Genomic DNA, 18,795 nt, shown 5'->3' with positions numbered 1-18,795 from the left:
TTTACATATACACATATTCCAAAAAGAGAGGTTATTTTTATAAAATACAAACACTAAGCAAAAATTATGCTAACTGAAAAAGTGCCTAGAGAGCCACATACATCCACGTTGTTAAATATAGAAACTAACTGTAATGAGAATCATTATCTCCAGTTTCCAAGGATACCAGGATAAGCACTACTCCTAAATTGCAGTTCATTCAGCAAAGGGCACAGAATAATTTATATTCAGGGTCATCCCTAGCTGAGAGCAGATGTGGAAGGAGGACCAGGGTAAATCACCTTGTTTCTTCTATTCCATTTGCTACCTGATCCAGTTCCCAGCCCTCGACCCCCACACTCTGGTCCCAACCTTGGCCAATGTTTTATGGAAGAAATTTGGAAAATCTGCTTGTAAATGGCAACTTCCAAGAGAAAAAGAATCTTCAAAGGGCAGGGCAGTCTGAGATGTGATTAATACTGGGGGTAGGGTGGGGGCTGGTATTTCCATTTGCTTTGTCTGTGAAAAGGAAAGGAGTCTGGGAGTCTGGTTTTGTGTGTCAGTCACACTAGTCGCCATCTTTCCCAGTGCCTATAAGGAAATTTCAACTTCCCACTCGACCAAGGCTATGCAAAGCTTGCCACTCATAAACTGCCATGGTCTCTAGAATCAAATTCAGCTTCAACTTGTTCTTCCTTCTTAGACTCTAGAATCTAGATCTTTCATAACAATTACTTTTTGTTTCTACAGCAATAAAAATATAAAAGCTACTTTCTGAAAACCTAGGAGATAGTGCCTCTGAATCATTTATTTGTTTATTCAAGACCACTTACTGTTGTTTTCAATGTGGCAGGCATTGCGCCAGGCCAGGCAGACAGGCATTACGCCAGGCAGACAGGCATTGCGCCAGGCAGGCAGGGACAAGAAGTGATAGATAAGGTATCAATAACAGGCCACGCCACTTAGGCAGTTTAAAAAGAGGCATTCTTCCTCTTAGTCAAATCGTCACTTACTAAAATACTGATGCGGATTTTATGGATACTCTAGATTTGTCTTAAACTTACAGAAAGTACATATAAACATACGATTCAGATATAATACCAATTTTCCATTTAGTTCCTTCCCCATCACCTGTCTACCCAATACAATAATAAGATCTGCCATATAGCACCTCAGCTAGGAGCAGACATCCTTCTAACGGGCAGAAGAGCTCTCTCTGCCTTCAAATGCTTCCTCTTAATGGACAGGAGACACTGTACCAAGATAAGCGTCTTAGCTTAATGTGATAATACAGGAGAATAGGCTATTTTGATAATGAAGGCCTTCTAGGATGTCCCTTCTTTGCAGGTTATATTAATCGATACTGGTCACTGTTTTTAAGAGGACGAAGGAATGAAACACAACAAAGGTTCCCAACAGTTACGTAACATATACAGTCTATCTCAATAAGGCAAGCTATTTTAAGATTAACAGTTAATACAAAATTTACTACACGTCCTTTCCTATATATTTTAGATGACTTGACGACTGCATACCTAAATGCATCCTCATGATAATGCCTGTACAGCCTCATCTTTTCCCAACAACAGACTCAAGGTTTTTTTTTTGGACTATTAAGCTTGTTTCTAAATCCCTTCAAGTAATAACAGCAAATTTTAAAACTATATGAAATAAAAGTCTCGGTTCTCTTACAACTTACATCAGTGATTATTTTGATGTATTATTATGACACTTTCTCACAAGGCGCAACATTTTGAGGTAAGATGGCTTCAGACAAGATTTTATGTCTGAATCTTGAGGCTTTGAAAATGCTGAGCTTGTGAAGGCTCAATATAATAGGCCACTATTTCATCTTTTCCCTCGTCCCACCCAAAGCTAGCACTTGGTAGGGCAAAAACAGACACTTTGTTAGGTGGAGCACCAAACACAGAAAGCATTCACAAGTCACTGGCAGAAAGGTCATTTTCTGTTTTAACATCTTTTTCTGATAACCCAGATCAGTTTTCATAAAACCCCTGAAGGTAGAAACCAGCTTACATTAAGCGACATCATTGTACTCCCTACTTGTGCATAATAATCAACTTTTTAAAAAATTTTAATCTTCAGCATTAAAAGTATCCTACCCACCAATTCAGGAACCTCGAACTCGGACTGGAGCCACTTCGCTCTCTGGATGTAAAAACCTCAGACGATCACCTCTTTTTTTCTCTCCCTACTGTTCAAACACCTAAATTATGGTTTAGTGTGTTGCACATGTCCTCAAAAATACTTTCTAGTAGCTCACCTCCTCCACATCCTTTTAAACTAGAAAAGTGTCCAACTGGCAATCCTCAAATCATAAAGGCAGCAAAAACGCCCCTGAGCGCTGTCACAAATTTTTAACAAGTGCATTGACGCCAACCAGCAAGGGATCCAGCTCCGCCGCCAAGGCCAGCACCCCCGCGCGGGTCTGGCGCAGCTCGGGGCCGGGCCCAGCTCAGCCCTTCAGCCCCCGGCGCGCCTCGCCGGCCTCGGCCTCCCCTCTCCACAGCGGTCCCGGGGACCTTCCGCCCCTCTAGGGGGTGTGGCCGAGGCGGCGGCGGTGAGCGGAAGGCGGCGGGAGGCTCGGCGGCGAGTGCGGGGCGGAGGCGCCACCTTAACCCGAGAGTTGGGAGGGGAGGGCGAGGGGCGTGCGCGTGGAAGAAGCTGCCCCGAGGCTGCTTTTAGCGGCGGAGCCGGCGGGACGCGGCAGGTTGGCAGCGCCCGGGGCGCATCCGGGGGGCGAGAGCGGAGGAGCGGCTGAGCGTCCCGGGACAGTCGGGGTGGGCTGCGCTGCGCTGGGGGCGCCGCGGCGGGGGGCGCACTCACCTATGCACAGCTGGATGGCGTAGGCGTAGTAGGACCAGCCGAGCAGGAGGGTGATGAACACCACCGGGATCCAGTACAGCACCCGCCGGCACCGCCGCCTGGCGCTGCTGCCCGGGCCCGAGGGCGCCATCTTCCAGCCGCATCCACCTGCCCAGCTCCGCCGCCGCCCGCGGGCCTGGCTCCGGGGCGGGCTGGGCGGGCCCGGCACCCCTGGCTGGACGGGCTCCTGGGCGGCGGCGGGGTGCGCTGCGGCCACTGCCGCCGCCGTGGCGCTAACTCCCCATCCCGCAGCCCCGAGCCGGCGCGGCGGACTCCCGGCTCCTCAGCCCGGCGGAGGCGGAGGCGGCGGCTGCGAGCGGAGGCCGAGGAGGCGGAGGGGGGCGGTGAGGCGGCGGCGTCGGGAGGCTGCGCTCCGCCCCCGCCGTTCCCCGCCGCCCGGCCGCCTCCCCTGGCGTGGCAGGCTGCGCCCTCGGGCGGGCTCTGCGGGGATGCGGGGCCCTCGCTCGGGCCACCTCGCGGGCTCCCACCGTGGCCCCGCCGCCTCCGGCTCGGCCTCTGGATTCCGGGGAGGCGGGGGCTGCTGGGCGCAGGCCCCCGGGGCGGAGCGGGCGGTGGCGGCCCCTCCCTAGGCGCCCGGCACCCGGGGCAGTTAGGTCGCGAGCGCTTCCGCGCTTGGCGCAGGGCGGGGGTCGGAGGCGAGGCCGGCGGAGCAGCTGCTGCGCTCGGGACTCCGCGCCTGCCGCGACCCAGGCGCCCTGAGAAAGTCTGCAGCACCGAGGCCCGCGTCCCCGCAGCCCGCGTGGAACCCTCGCGCTTCAACTTGCGGGTCCCTGGGAGCCCGCGGGGGCCGCAAGGAGCCTCCCTTTACTACTCGGGCTTTCGGGGGAAGCAGAAATGCACAGCGAAGAGGGGGTGCCGAGCCGGCGTCTGGCATGGGAGGGGCTGTGGAGAGCGAGGAAGAAGCATTTTTGGCTGTGAATCCAGGCACCTCTGGAGTTAGAAACACAAGTTCTTTGCTCTGAGAATGTTGATGCTTTGGATAAATGATTGTGACAGGGGCCGTTCCCACTGTCCCCTCCCTCAAGTACGGTGGTTCCTTCCACCAACTATTTATTCTTTTCCTCAACCCGCTCCTCACTACGGTGTTTACTTTCGTGGTGGCAATTCCAAACTTAGCAGATAGCTGACTCCAAAGCGGTTCCCAAAAAACACCGTAAGGGAACCTAAAGGTAGTCAGCCCAAACCTCTGATTTTATGATTCACGAAATGGAAAATAAACAAATGCCTCCTTTGCTTTTCCTTCATCTGATTATGAACGCACCTGATCCACAGGGAAACATTTCAATCAATGAGTGTGTGTAAATTATGTGCATCACTACTATACATAATAGGCACAATTTTTCTTAACATTAGTGAATATGTGTATTTACACCACACAGCAACCACAGTGAATGAAATTACTTCTTATTCATGTGTAGAAGTAAAAAAAAAATACTGATTTACATGAATTCAGTCAAAGAAATTTAGCTCTGGTGTCTGCGATTATCTTTCTGTGACTGGATTACACAACAAGCTAATCTCTCCCGAAATAGCTACTATGTTACAGCCCCCCACCCCACATCTCTTTCCATTTCTCTTCAAAAATGCATAGAAAATGTCAGTCAAGTTTCTGTGGGACTTTAAATAATTGAAAAGAGAGACATATTATGTCCCAGTGAATCACTTGATTTTGCTGTAGCCTTTTATATTCTCTGTGGATATTCTGTATATTAATGTAAAAATAAAACTTCTCTGGATTCCTTAATGTTTTCCATGAATATTAATCCTGTGTTCCCCCCCAATCAGAAGAGAGTAAAAAACAGGAATTAAAACTTCCTCCTGGGACTGAAATACCCTCACAAAGAGAAGCAAATCAGTGACTGAAGGTCAATAGAGACCATCAAGGTATGAAAAGGAAGGAATCGGATTTTCCATACTGGAAACGGTGGAGAAAGTGCAAATAGTGCCTCTGTAGATCCTGGATGCGACGATGCCCTGTGCTCTTCCTCCTCTCACAGTCCTACAGGGTCTTGAAATCGGAAATGGAATAGCATTCTGCCCAGTTTTCACATCATCTACCCTTTTGGAAAAGTATGCAGGTGTCATATCTTTGAAGGAGCTACATTTTTATTACTCATCTAAGATGTTGTTTAATTGTTCCTATTTATAATAAATATTTGTGAAATATTTTCAACTTTTTTTTGTTATTGCCATTTTAAGGATACTACTATTACTGGGTTTTTCAAGTTCTCTTATCTTAAATACAGAAAAAGTCTGGATTAGGAAGAAGCATCTCCACAGCCACAAGATAACAGGATTGATCTCTGCGTAGTCTCTAATTAGGCATAAGCAGCACGCACAAATGTAAGCTCTTTGGTGAGTAGCCAATCTCTAGATACTAGTCTTTGATGAGAGTGGAAGGAGAGCTTTTATTTTGAGGTATAGAGAGCCTTTGATTTATTTTCTTTTTCTTTAGGACTACATAAACAGAAAAAATAATTTGAAGGTCATAGACAAGAAGAAACTTCACTAGAGACTTACTGTTTAGAAATACAGAAGATTCAACTCACGAATTTTAATTTAAATGTTCAATAAGCATAAGAAATTGTAGGTTTCATGTATAACTGTGATTAAACTGATATGACCACTTATGAAAAAGAAAGCCAGCCACAGCAAAGGAGGAAGAAGGCGACGCTAAGGAAGAGAAGAGACGAGCGGACAGCCAGGCAAGGAGGGGGGTGAGGGGAGTGACTGAGAACGGGAGAAAAGCCCCCTTGCTGGGTTCATCCAGTCCCTAATGACCATGACTCCATCCTCGCTAGGCCTCTGCCTGTATGCTCCTTGCACTCAGCGGTCTAGCAACATCATTCACCTCTCAAATTTTCACAACTCTTATTTTCAGTTCCTGCCCCATGAAGGAATCTCTCTTTTTTTGGGGGGGGGGGGCGGACAGAATTTCGCACTGTTGCCTGGGCTGGAGTGCAATGCCGCCATCTCGGCTCACTGCAACCTCCGCCTCCCGGGTTCAAGCGATTCTCCTGCCTCAGCTTCCCGAGTAGCTGGGATTACAGGTGCCCGCCACCGTGCCCGGCCAATTTTTTGTATTTGTAGTAGAGACAGGGTTTCAGTATGTTGGCCGAACTGGTCTCAAACTCCTGACCTGGTGATCCGCCCGCCTCGGTCTCCGGAAGTGTTGGAATTACAGGTGTGAGCCACCGTGCCCAGCCCAGGAACCTTAAACGTTCCTCCTCTCCCTCCAGCCCAGTCCCCCAAATTCTTGAGTTCCCAAACCTCAAGTCTGCCGTACTTTCATGATTAATACTGCTAATCTTCCTTCTGCCTGCAGATCCAGATTACCATTTTAACATAGTCCCTTGCATAGTATGAATCAAACATAGCATGCTAGCCAAACCCAGGAAGGCGTGGACGCACCTGCTGCTAGAGAACACAGATCCCCCTTAATGTTGCCTATGCCAACCTCATCTCAAGCTTTTCAGCCAAAACACCTACCAGAAACTATTAGGACACTTGCTTGATATTTACTCCTTCCTTTTGGAAGGGTTCTTAGAGGGCAACATTGCAACAAGATATGAGGTCAGTCGTATTAGTCTCATGTATATGAGACGTTGATTGTCTTGAGTTTGCTAAGAGGGTATGATACTTCACAAATACAAGGAGTTCTAAATCTTACAAGGATTGGAAGCAATGAAGCTGAGGTCTGGATCTATATCTTATTTACTAATGGCTCTCCCATCCTTACTAGAGTGGTCTGCATGAATACTGATAGATTCTCTTTCATTATTTTCTCAAACTTAATCTTATCACTCTTTTGGGGGAGAAGAGCTCTTTAGAAGGCAGCAGTCCATGACATCAGTGACTCCAGTGTCAATGTGCATGTTTATAATAGCGGTCAAAACATTCTCTGTGGGAGAAGAATAGCATGCCTAAACCACTTTTTGTTTCTGGAGATACATAAAATAAAAGAAAAGGAATCGCGCTTAGGGAATGTAGGAATGAAGTAATGCTTAGATATGTTTTGGCTGTCAGAGATTTATGTTTGCAATTCAGCTGTAATTATATTGAATAAAATGGGAGATAATTTCAAAAGCCTAAGGATGTCTCTGTATACAGTTGATTGGGTCGAAACACTGGGACAATGTAAAGTGGAGCAAACTGTCCCTGGCAAACCTGCCTTTCAGGCACACTAGGGCTTTCACGGTAGCATTAATGTGTCCTGCCACTAGATGGCAGGCACACACCAAGCAGTGCAGCAGTCTTCACCTTTTCTCCATAGATTTCAATAGTTATCAACTGTTAGCTTAAGCAAGGCAATTATAAATATGAATTATAACTTCATGAACAATTATATATCATTGTAACTAATTATAATTATGTTATAATTGGCCAGGCGCGGTGGCTTACGCCTGTAATCCCAGCACTTTGGGAGGCCAAGGCGGGCAGATCACCTGAGGTCAGGAGTTTGAGAGCTGCCTGGCCAACATGGCGAAACCCCATCTCTACTAAAAATACAAAAAATTAGCTGGGCGTGGTGGCGGGTGCCTGTAATCTCAGCTACTTGGAAGGCTGAGGCAGGAGAACTGCTTGAACCTGGGAGGTGGAGGCTGCAGTGAGCCAAGATCACGCCAATGCACTCCAGCCTGGGCAACAAGAGCAAAACTCCTTCTCAAAACAAAAAGTTATGTTATAATTATACAGTTTTTATATTATAATTTAATGGCTAACGATTAATAAAAACGACAACCCTATTCAAAAAATTTAAAAGACTTAAAGCATTTTTCTATATAGTAAATCGTTCTGATTCTGCGTGCACTTCTTTAGAATTCGCACTAAGGTCAATCTCTTTGGAAATAAAATAGGAAATTTTCATTGAAATAATATTTTTGCTTACACTGTTTCCCTTCTTTGCCCCTAAATGGGGAGGGGCACTGTCTATGAACCCAAAAGGTGAGCAGACATGTCCTTCCAGTGGACTGACACAGCTATACTATGGATCTCTAAGGGGTGATACAATGTCCGAAGTTCAACTGGAGATTATTAGAAGTGGCCGTTGTGGAGTTGAGAGCTGAACAGCCAGCAGAGAGTGACCAAGGGCAGCAGAATTCTGCAGTGTAGTGGCAAGTGTCCAGGGATATTAAGAGCAGCAATGGCATCCTAGGTTGACTGTTCTTGGTGGCAAGATCTTGGCCATGCACCAGCTTCCTTTGTTCCAGCTCAAGCTTGATTCTCCAGGCTTCCTTTTGATTTTGGAGGAGTGCCTATATAACTGCATAACATTTTTTATGTAAGTCAACTAGAGTTGACTTGTGTTTACAACCAAGAACTCTGAATGGCACGTAGTTTTAATTTCATTCTGCATCTCATTGCTTAAAGAGTTAGTTTCAGCTCATGGAGACCAAGGCACCTTGAGAAATAGGGATACAGGAATTTGGGGGTGAAGAAGCTTACTTGGTGCCATTCAAATCACACTCTCTTGACCTGCATTGTTCAATAAGTACCCACTAGTAACATTTGTTGCCACTATTCAAATTTGTTAAAATTAACATGAAATGAAATTGGAAATTCTTAGTTGCAATAGTCACATTTCAAATGCTCAATAGCCACATGTGGCTAGTGGCTACTGCATTGGATGCTGCAGATCTAGAACATTCCATCATTGAAGAAAGTTCTGTTGGACAGAACTGTTTAGACATTTTGTCTTGTCTGAATATTCAAAAGGCTTTATTCTTGTAAATGTAAGAAACAAAAAAGTCCCCTATGTAATAATCCCTTCACTGTTTTATAGAAACAAAAATTAGAGGTAACAGGAAGTTGAAAACAATTTTACGTTTTGGTACTAGGAAATTTCTTCCTTTGAAGAGGAATCCAAAGAGTAAAGAACCACCTTTTCGCTGTGTCTACTGTGAGAATGAAAACCATTCTCTGCAACCAGACTGTCCATATTCCAGAAAATGTAGATATCACTTTGAAGGGATACCCAGTAATTGCGAAAGGCCCTAGAGGAACCCTGTGGATGGACTTCAATCACATCAATGTAGACCTCAGTCTCCTTGGAAAGAAAAAAAATGAGGCTCCGGCACTGACAAAAAATGGTGGGGAAACAGAAAGGAACTGGCTGCCGTTTGCACTATTTGTAGTCATGCACAGGACATGGTCAAGGATGTTGTGCTGGGCTTCCGCTGCAAGATGAGCTCTGTGTGTACTCACTTCTCCATCAATGTCGTTATCCGGAAGAATAGGTCTCTGGTTGAGTTCTGAAATTTCCTCGGTGAAAAATAAATCCACAGGGTTTGGCAGTGGCCAGGTGTTGCTTGTTCAGTATCTCAAGCCCAGAAAGATGAATTAACCCTTGTAGGAAATGACATTGATCTTGTTGCAAATTCAGCTGCTTTGATTCAGCCAGCCACGACAATTAAATAAAAACAAGGATATCAGAAAATGTGTGGATGGTATTTACGTCTCTGAAAAAGGAACAGTTAAGCAGGCTGCTGAATAAGACCTAAGAGTAGTCCAGGTACAGAAACAAGATGCCGGATGATTCCTAAGACCTATTTGTGATATTTAAATGATGCAATAAAAGACCTATTGATTTGGGGGAGAAAAGAAGAGTAAGGTGCCAGTTGGATCATAGAACAGTATACATCGATTTCTTCAACCTAAGGCTTACATGTGTAAATGTAAAAAACAAAAAAGTCCCCTATGTAATAATCCCTTCACTGTTTTATAGAAACAAAAATGAGAAGTAACAGGAAGCTGAAAACAATTTTACGTTTTTGGTACTAGGAGATTTCTTCCTTTGAAGATGAATCTAAAGAGTAAAAAACCATCTTTTCGCTGTGTCTACTGTGAGAATGAAGACCATTGTCTGCAACCAGACTGTCCATGTTCCAGAAAATGTAGATATCTACATGATTACTTTAAAGGGTATGCACGGAGAAACTTAGATTGCTATGTCCGAATTCCTTTACATAAAGCTAAATATTAGATTTAGATTTTAAACCAACAGTGCTTGAAGATATAGCTTTATTCCTGGATAACTCCAGCCTTGAAACACAGAATGGTGTCTTTATCCCGTGGTCGTTAAGACCTTTTCTGTTCTGTTGGAAGAGCAGGTAATCACTGGGGGCACCTGAGGAATAACTGCTTATATTCAATTCTGTCTCTGTCAAATTGTAGGCTAGATTAATCATGTTGGGTTTTCTGTACAGCAGATATGAGTGGAGGTAAAGTCAACGTGTCTTGCCCCGTGGTCTGTGGAAACCCACATTGGCTCTGGTTCAAGACATGCTCCCCTGGAGGAAAAAAAAGAAAGAAAGACAGAAAGAAAGAAAAGAAAATACATCAAATAAGTTTTAATATTTAATTTTAATAAGTACGGACAAGTATTGTCAAAGACTTTACATGTAAGTTGGACATCAAGTTTACACCGCAATTTATAACTGTACAAGGAAAAAAGTCTAACCAGAGTTTTCTCTGGCCTTCAAAAAGAGCAGGCAAAATAAAGAATAAATATTTAATGATGACATTTAACAAAAAAGGCATGTTGGCTTCGGATTTGTAGGAGAAAAATTTTTATCATCAGGGATTCTTCCGTCAACTAGAATTTATCCAGTGTAATTACGTCCTATAGCTCAAAGACTTTGAATTATTATTTTCAAGTGATACTCAGGCACTGTGTATTCTGAATTTCTTGGGATTATTTCCATGGTTGATAAAACCTTTCTCTATTTGCTCAAATTTCAATCTTTTTGGTAATGGGTCATGTTATATGAAATGCTAGGTTGGTAGTGGAATATCGATAGCCTTTATATCTGGAGTACGAGACAGGATGTGTTTTTGTTTTTCAGACATTCAGTATAGATGTTGAGGGTTCTGAATCCAAATGATTAGAGATTTTGGATTTTATGTTTTAAGCCAAATAAGAGGTTTGGGTAATACATTTTTATTCTTTTAAGCTTTCTCTTGAATTCAATAAAATGTTAAAGATGACATTTTTTAACTTTCAGGAATCACAAAAGATTTGACAACGTGGCATAATCACTTTGTGAATTGTTGAAAGAATATGTTGATTTAATTATGATGTAGAAATTACACAGTTCTAAAATATTTTTTTATGAGGAGAAAAGGTAAATTGGACTATATATATGATGTGATACATATATATGTGTGTGTGTGTTTCCAGTAATAACAATAGTGACCTATTCCTAATTATAGACATTTATAATTACTCTTTAATGAGCAGCATTTTGGAATATGAATACACAAACCTGAATGCAAATTCCAAGGACTGAAACTAAAGTTAAAACATCAGTATTCCACTGTTTGGTGAAATATAGTAAGCACTGCAATGAATTATATACTGCAACCAACACTGGAATAAAATACCTAGCTCAGCTACAGTTATTAATTCATTTTCTTTATAAAGAGGTCAGTTATAACTGTTTTCATTATAAAATAGCTAAAGTATCTGATGTGTTTGCAAAATTTAAGAATCATAACCCTATTGAGGCTGCTTAAATATGACTAGAAATTTTTCAAAATTTTGTAGTGTATTATTTAACAAATATTTACTAATTACCTGCCATGTGCCCAGATATTGGTGATATTCAAATTTAAAAATTTAGGCCAGGTATGGTGGCTCACACTTGTAATCCCAGCACTTTGGGAGGCCGAGGCAGGTGGATCACGAGGTCAGGAGTTAGAGACCAACCTAACCAGCACAGTGAAATCCTGTCTCTACTAAAAATACAAAAAGTTAGCTGGGCCTGGTGGCGGACGCCTGTAATTCCAGCTACTTGGGAGACTGAGGCAAGAGACTCACTTGAACCCAGGAGGTGGAGGTTGCAGTGAGCCAAGATCGCGCCATTGCACTCCAGCCTGGGCGACAAGAGTGAAACTCTGTCTCTCTCTCTCACACACACACACACACACACACGCACAAACACACACACACAATAAATAAATAAATAAAAATTTAGTCTTTAGCTTCAAGGAGCTTCTGGGCTAGTGAGGAGATCAATGTGCAAACATTTTCTATAATAAGATAAATAACAAGTACATTGGCAGCAAAGGAGAAGTGACTCAATGTGCCTGGAATAGTCAGGAAAGCCTTGAGAGAAAAGTAGAATTTGTGCTAAAGCTTAAAAAACATGTAGGAGTTTGCATCATGGAGAAAGGAAGGGATGATTCCCTTGTGCAGGGAATGCCTTCTCTTCTGGAGAGGCCAATTTTGAGAACTAGAAGAAAATATCACACGAGGGATTTCAATGGGAGGAATTTAAAACAGGAAATGAAATTCAAAGATGTTGGAACAGTAGAATGAACAATTAGGATGAGGGGAAACAAACACAAAGATTACCAATTGTAGAAAGTCACTACCACCTCTAGGGCTGGAAGGACAAAGGGAAGGTGGTCTTACTGCAGCCCAAGATGAATGATGGGTCACCTGGTAGTTGTTGGGGACCGTGGAGGGGATTTAGCCACTACTAGAGACATAGCCTGAGACAGACACACAGAGAGAGAGAGAGAGAGAGAGAGACAGAGAGAAGAAACAAGAGAGAAAGAGGAGAGAGAGAGAGAGAACGCAAATTTACTTGAAAGCCAGATGGTATGAGAGCATGGGAAATGTAGTTTGCAGGGGTCAGTGCCCTGTATATAAAGTAAAGCAAAAGAAAAACAATCTAAGACCAAACAGGCAACCGACTAGAACAAGCAAGCTTAGAAACCCCCGCCTGGAACACCAGCACTTTGGCTTTGGGAGGCCGAGGCAGGCAGATCACTTGAGGTCAGGAATTCGAGACCAGCCTGGCCAACATGGTGAAACCCCGTCTCCACTAAAAATACAAAAATTAGCCAGGCGTGGTGGCGGGCACTGTTAGTCCCAGCTACTCAGGAGGCTGAGGGATGAGAATTGCTTAAACCTGGGAGGTGGAGGTTGCAGTGAGCCACTCCAATATGAGCACTCCACTCTGAGACAGAGGGAGACTCTGTCTCGATAAGAAAAAAAAAAAAAAAAAGAATAGAAAAAAATGAAATCTTGGACTGGGACAATGGCAAGAGGAATGGAGAGGAAGAAACAGATTCTAGGAAAGGCCCAGAGACCAGTTAGCTAACAGATGTGAAAGACAGGAAGAAGCAGGTGTTCTAGATTTTGGAAAGGAAAAATCTGCAGAAAGGAAATCCAGAGGAAAGGCTTTCAAGGTAAATGGGCCCATCACACTCCATGGGGCTCACCGTCAACTAAGGAGGAAAAAAGTCTTTGGCCACCACATCTACTATTAACTACAACCTTCACGAGACTGTGACCTCCAACTGAGACGCAGAAAAGAGACACAGAGTTGGGAAGTAGGAATGGTTATTTCTGCTTCAGCGGAGGCTACATATGCCCATCCCATTTGGGTGTTAACTGAGGTAACATCTCAAGTTTTCTTTGGGGATTTTATCCTTCCATCATTCCTTCAAGCGTTTAACAATAACTCTTTCGTTTGGCTCCGGTTTGCTTAGCTCTGCAGCTACTCAGAGAATGTTAGGGCTGCACCTTTGAAAAATTATTTCATTGTGTGCACCCTTTCTCATGCTACAGATGAGAAAACAGGAGCACGAAGAAATTAGACGCGTTGCCCAAGGTGACACTGCTATGTGGACAAGCCAGGAACCCGGGTCTCCTGACGCCCAGCCTGCTGTTCCTCTCACATCACCGCGAGCACAAGAGGATCAGCTTGTTTTCTCTTAGACTCCAAGCGTGGCAAGCTTAATCAAAGAAGCTAAGCCCGGGAATTTAAAATTCACAGGGGGAACCAAGTAAAATGTCATGGTTAGGTTTTCTTAAAAGAATATTAAGTATACCCAGGATAGTTGATATTCTTGGGTAAAAGATCTAACCTAGAAAAAGCAGAAGAATCACTGAGGGGCTACAATGCTATGGCATTGGGGGCATGACAGTTATTCAGTGTGTGGGGCTGTCCTAGCACTGCAGGCCATTCAGCACGTCTGGTTCCTTTGCACAACTAAATACAGGGCCACCCCCTTTCCTAGGCAGTATGACAAACAAAACCATCCTCCTACTGGGTGGGGATTGGGGGTGGGAAAGGGTTTGGAAAGAGTACCGGCTTCGAGACAACCGCTGATAGACTAAAAAAATGGTACAGAAGTTCCATCTTAAATAGGCATTGGTGGGTGGGGTTATTTTTACCATCATGTTCCCTCACACAGAAAAAGAATACTTTCATGTCAACTATATAATGAAACAGTCTCATTCGGAAGAACATTAAATTTGTTTCCAGAGACAGTGAAGAGAAGATAAAGTTTTATCATGTTTGCACTGCAGAGGGATAGTCATATTTCAGGCTAGATATTTGGAAGTATAACTGAAATACCAGTGTAAGAGTCTGATTTTCCTCGGAGGGTTGCAACGGAAACATCTGTGTTTGAATTATACTTCTGTCACCTGCTAGCTGCTTGATCTTAAGCAAGTTACTTAAATTTTCCAACGTTTCCTGAGACATTTCTTATTTCCTAAAGAAGAACACAGGGAAAGTAACATGTGACGGTCCTTTAACAGGTCCATCCATTCATCCATTCAACACATTTGGATGACTTCCTGTGTTCTAGGTATTGCGCTAGGCGATGGTTACATGACGTGCAAAAAAATAAGCCCAACCAAACCAAAAACAAGGAGCTTGCCTTCGTGAAGTTCATAGTACAGATAAAGAAAATGTCTGCTCCTACAGCTCTTATTTGAATGGGGATAATTTTATCAGGAGGTCCACTGGTGTGAGTGTCATTGAAAATGTCCTGCTGGTTTGTACACTGTCTCTGCTTAAATAACACTTGCTATGAAATGTGTATTAAGTTGGTGCAAAAGTAATTGCGGTTTTTGCCATTACTTTTAAAGTGGTGGCGCATGCCTGTAATCCCGGTACTTTTATTTTTTATTTTTGTTTTATTATTATTTTTTTTTCTGAGATGGAGTCTTGCTCTGTCGCCCAGGCTAGAGTGCAGTGGCGAGATCTCGGCTCACTGCAACCTCCACTTCCTGGGTTCAAGCGATTCTCCTGCCTCAGCCTCCCGAGTAGCTGGGATTACAGGCACATGCCACCACGACTGGATAATTTTTGTATTTTTCATAGAGACAGGGTTTCACCATCTTGGCCAGGCTGGTCTGGAACTGTTGACCTCATGATCCACCCGCCTTGGCCTCCCAAAGTGCGGGGATTACAGGCGTGAGCCACCACGCCCGGCCCATCCCAGTACTTTTAATGGCAAAAACCGTGATTACTTTTGCACCAACCTAATATATCCAGATACAAGAGTCAGTTTGAAATGCCATGACCTAAACTGCAGGCAGTCTGTGTCTAAAAGCTCAATTATCCATAATTAGTGGGTTACCTGGACATGTTTCTGTGAATGCTTTGATGCCAAAATATATATTCCTCAAATATTGCTGATGTAAATTTTTAGTATAAAGATACAGATTGTAAGTAAGAGTTTTGGAATCTTCTCATCAAAGCAGCACATGCTGCAGCTCCGTAACACAGTCCCTTTATTGGATATTTGCATTTGCGCCTCTAGACGCCTTCTCCACCCTTCTTTGTGTTATGGAAGGCTCACCCTTTAAGATCTAGGGCTCCTTTGTGTCTGGATTTTGGTTGGTTCAACCAGTGGGAGGTAGGCAGTGGCTCAAAGGCCAGACAAGAATATGAGGATGTTCGTTCCACCTCCCTCAGCCTGACACTGAAGATCACAGCTTCTGTGGGATACAGTACCTGTCTCTCCTTGTCCCTCAGGCCTGGGATGGGGGTGAGCACCCAACTCCCAAGGGTGCTCAACCACACTCTGTCGGTTTCCTTTAATTAAATTCTTCTCAGTTACCAAGTTTGAGTGCATCATCTCTTCCCTTACTAATATAACACCCCCGCAGCCTGTCTGTCAATCTCAGTACAGTCTATTTTTGCTGAATAGAAAAAAAATAACATAAAAAATAACATAAGGAAAAAAAACATAAAAGTTGGCCAGGCGTGGTGGCTCACGACTGTAATCCTACCACTTTGGGAGGCTGAGGCAGGCAGATCACTTGAGGTCAGCAGTTCCAGACCAGCCTGGCCAACAAGGTGAAACCCAGTCTCTACTAAAAATATAAAAATTAGCCGGGTGTGGTGGGAGGCACCTGTAGTCCCAGCTACTCAGGAGGCTGAGGCAGGAGAATCACTTGAACCCAGGAGGCGGAGGCTGCAGTGAGCCGAGATCACACTACTGTACTCCAGCCTGGAGTCAGAGCGAGACTCTGTCTCAAAAAAAAAAAAAAAAAAAAAAAGCCTACTGAATTCCTTATTTAGAAAGTCAATATTATCTTTAATTATCTCTTTTAAAATAAAAAATAACAAAATTATATATAGCAGAACAATACATCACAGTTATAGAGCAGAAACTCTGAAAACAGAGAAAGATAAAAACTTCCCATGATTTTACCAATTAGCACAACCATTGTTATTTTAGCTTGTTTCCATCTGGTCTTTTTGTGTGTTTTCTTTTTAGAGTTGAAATGATAGCCTACATACAATTTTGTGTTCTCATAAATATTTCATTACAAACATTTTTTTCATGCTGCTATACAGGCTTCAGAATTATTTTATTAAATTAAAAAAAAAGTTTTTTGAGACAGGATCTTGCTCTGTTATTCAGGCTGCAGTGCAGTGGCATGATCATAGCTCACTGCAGCCTCCAACTCCTGGGCTCAAGTGATCCTCCTGCCTCAGCCTCCCAAAGTGCTGGGATTACTACCATGCCCAGTCTAGAATAATTTTAAATATTTGCACAGTATTCTATTCTGTAGAAGTACTATAATTCATTAAACCATTCCTTTATTGTTAATTATGTAGGTGTTTTCTAATTTTTCACTGGCATAACATACCATAAATAACTTGGCTCATCTAACATTCCCCTTCTATTTAGTTGTTTTCTTTGGACAGGGCCCCAGAAGTAAAATTAAATCAAAGAGTCAGTTTGAAAAACTATGTAGCTGTGATGATTTTAAATATGTGCACAAATTCTTTGATACTTCGCCTTTCAAGAAGTGAAGGCTCATCCCCTACCCTTGAGTGCTGAGTGGACTTAGTGTCTTAGTCCATTCTGGCTGCTATAATAAAGTATCATAAACTAGGTAGCTTCTAAACAACAGAAATTTCTTTCTCACAGTTCTGGAGGCTGGGAAGTCTAGGATGAAGCCACTGGCAGATTTGATGTCTGGTGAAGGCCAGCTTTCTGGTTCCCTCAAAGATGATTTTTCTCTGTACTCTTACATAGTAGAAGTGGCCAACGCGCTTGCTGGGGCCTCTTTTATAAGGGTGCTAATTTCTTTCATGAGGGCTTCATCCTCAGGACCTAATCACTTCCCAAGGCTCTGATATGGTTCAGCTGTGTCCCCACCCAAATCTCATCTTGAATTATAGCTCCCATAATTCCCACGTGTTGTGGGAGGGGCCCAGTGGGAGATAATTGAATCATGGGGACGGTTTCCCCATACTGTTCTTGTGGTCATGAATAAGTCCCACGAGATCTGATGACTTTATAAGGGGAAACCCCTTTCACTTGGCTCTCACTCTCTCTTTGCCTGCTATCATGTAAGATGTGCCTTTTGCCTTCTGCTATGATTGTGAGGCCTCTCCAGCCACGTGGAACTGTGAGTCCATTAAATCTCTTTTTCTCTATAAATTATCCATCTTATGTATGTCTTTATCAGCAGCGTGAAAATGGACTAACACAGGCTCCACCCCTAAACGCTGCCATCACCTAGGGGTTAGGGTTCCCACATATGAATTTTGGCAGAACACAAACATTCAGACCATAGCACTTAGTGACTCACTTCTAATGAATAAAATAAAGCAGAATTAATAGTGGGAAATTTCAAAGACTGGTTCAAAAAAAGACACCACGGCTTCCTCCTCAGCCTCACATCACTTGAGCCGTGAGAAGTTAGCTGCCCTGTTGTCATGAGCAGCCCCATCGAGAGGGCCATGTAGCAGAGGATGGGGGTCGCCATGTGAGTGAGTGTTCTGGAAGTCAGTCCTCCAGCTGCAGTCATTCCTTCTGATGCCTGTAGTGCGAGCCAACAGCTTGACTGCACCCTCAGGAGAGACCTTGAGTTAGACTCACCCAGCAAAGCTGCTCCTGACTGACTCAGAAACTGTGGGAAATAATGTTTGTTTTCTTAGGCAGCTGCAATTTGGGGTAATTTGCAATGCCGCAATAGATAAATAATACAGCAACAACGGAACTATTGTTTTGGAACATTTGTTTAACTCGGTTCGAACATGAGGCACTTAATGAGCATCCCAACTCCAGTTAAACGCAACAAATTACTGCCATTTAAGGTACATGTAAAGAGCCAGTGAGGGACATAGGGAGGACGAAGAGGGAGAGAAAAGGGAGAAGAGAATAAGAGAGGAAGAAAGGAAAAAATAAGTTAGCAAGAGAGGGACATGGGAAAGATGACTACATGTCCTAGTTTAGCTTGGATAGTCCCAGTTTGGAGCACTGTCTTGATGTAATTCTGAATAGAGTCCCTTTTCACTTTCAAAAGTGTCCCGGTTTGGATGATAAATTATATGACCCTAGATATAGGCCAATAATACGCCTTCCCCCAATCCAGTTCTTCGCTTTAATATTCCGTCTTTTCCCGATACCTCGTGCCCATTCTGCTCCAGCTCCACAGCACTGCTCAAGAGTCCTAAATTTCCCACCAAACCATAGTCTCACTGGCACCTCTTCCATGGCTTAGAAGTCACCTCTGTTTACTTCCCAGTACTCTTGCATCACAGTAAGGAATTCATCATGGTGGTTAAGAGCTTGGCTCAGGAATTAGACAACCTGGGTCTGAGTCTTGGTTTTATCCTTATTGCTATATAACCCTAGGGA

General features: G+C 43.6%; 1 protein-coding gene and 1 pseudogene across 7 annotated transcripts in view, besides 1 other annotated feature; one reads left to right on the top strand and one right to left on the bottom strand.

Annotated features, from left to right (window-relative positions):
- ZDHHC2 (zDHHC palmitoyltransferase 2) overlaps positions 1–3,198 on the bottom strand; it is a 68,318-nt gene extending 65,120 nt beyond the window's left edge. For 4 of the 7 annotated variants that reach the window (XM_011544544.4, XM_011544545.4, NM_016353.5 and 1 more), the window contains exon 1: positions 2,827–3,198. In XM_011544544.4, coding sequence (XP_011542846.1) covers positions 2,827–2,969 — 143 coding nt within the window. In that variant the 5' untranslated portion in view covers positions 2,970–3,198. Of the gene's footprint in view, positions 1–2,263; positions 2,517–2,826 lie in introns of those variants that run through there. The other 3 variants (XM_011544546.4, NM_001362988.2, NM_001362989.2) reach the window with 1 other exon arrangement.
- Positions 2,380–3,739: a silencer, noted in NCBI's record as "silent region_18960". NCBI's record gives its function as "represses an Ori minimal core promoter by ATAC-STARR-seq in GM12878 lymphoblastoid cells {active_cell/tissue: GM12878}" and the evidence as "EXISTENCE:reporter gene assay evidence [ECO:0000049][PMID:35858748]".
- RPL9P20 (ribosomal protein L9 pseudogene 20) lies at positions 8,771–9,477 on the top strand (annotated as a pseudogene).

Source organism: Homo sapiens, chromosome 8, assembly GCF_000001405.40.
Source record: "Homo sapiens chromosome 8, GRCh38.p14 Primary Assembly".
NCBI classification, from domain to species: domain Eukaryota; kingdom Metazoa; phylum Chordata; class Mammalia; order Primates; family Hominidae; genus Homo; species Homo sapiens.
The sequence above is the reverse complement of the archived record's forward strand: the minus strand, read 5'-3'. Positions and strand labels throughout refer to the sequence as shown.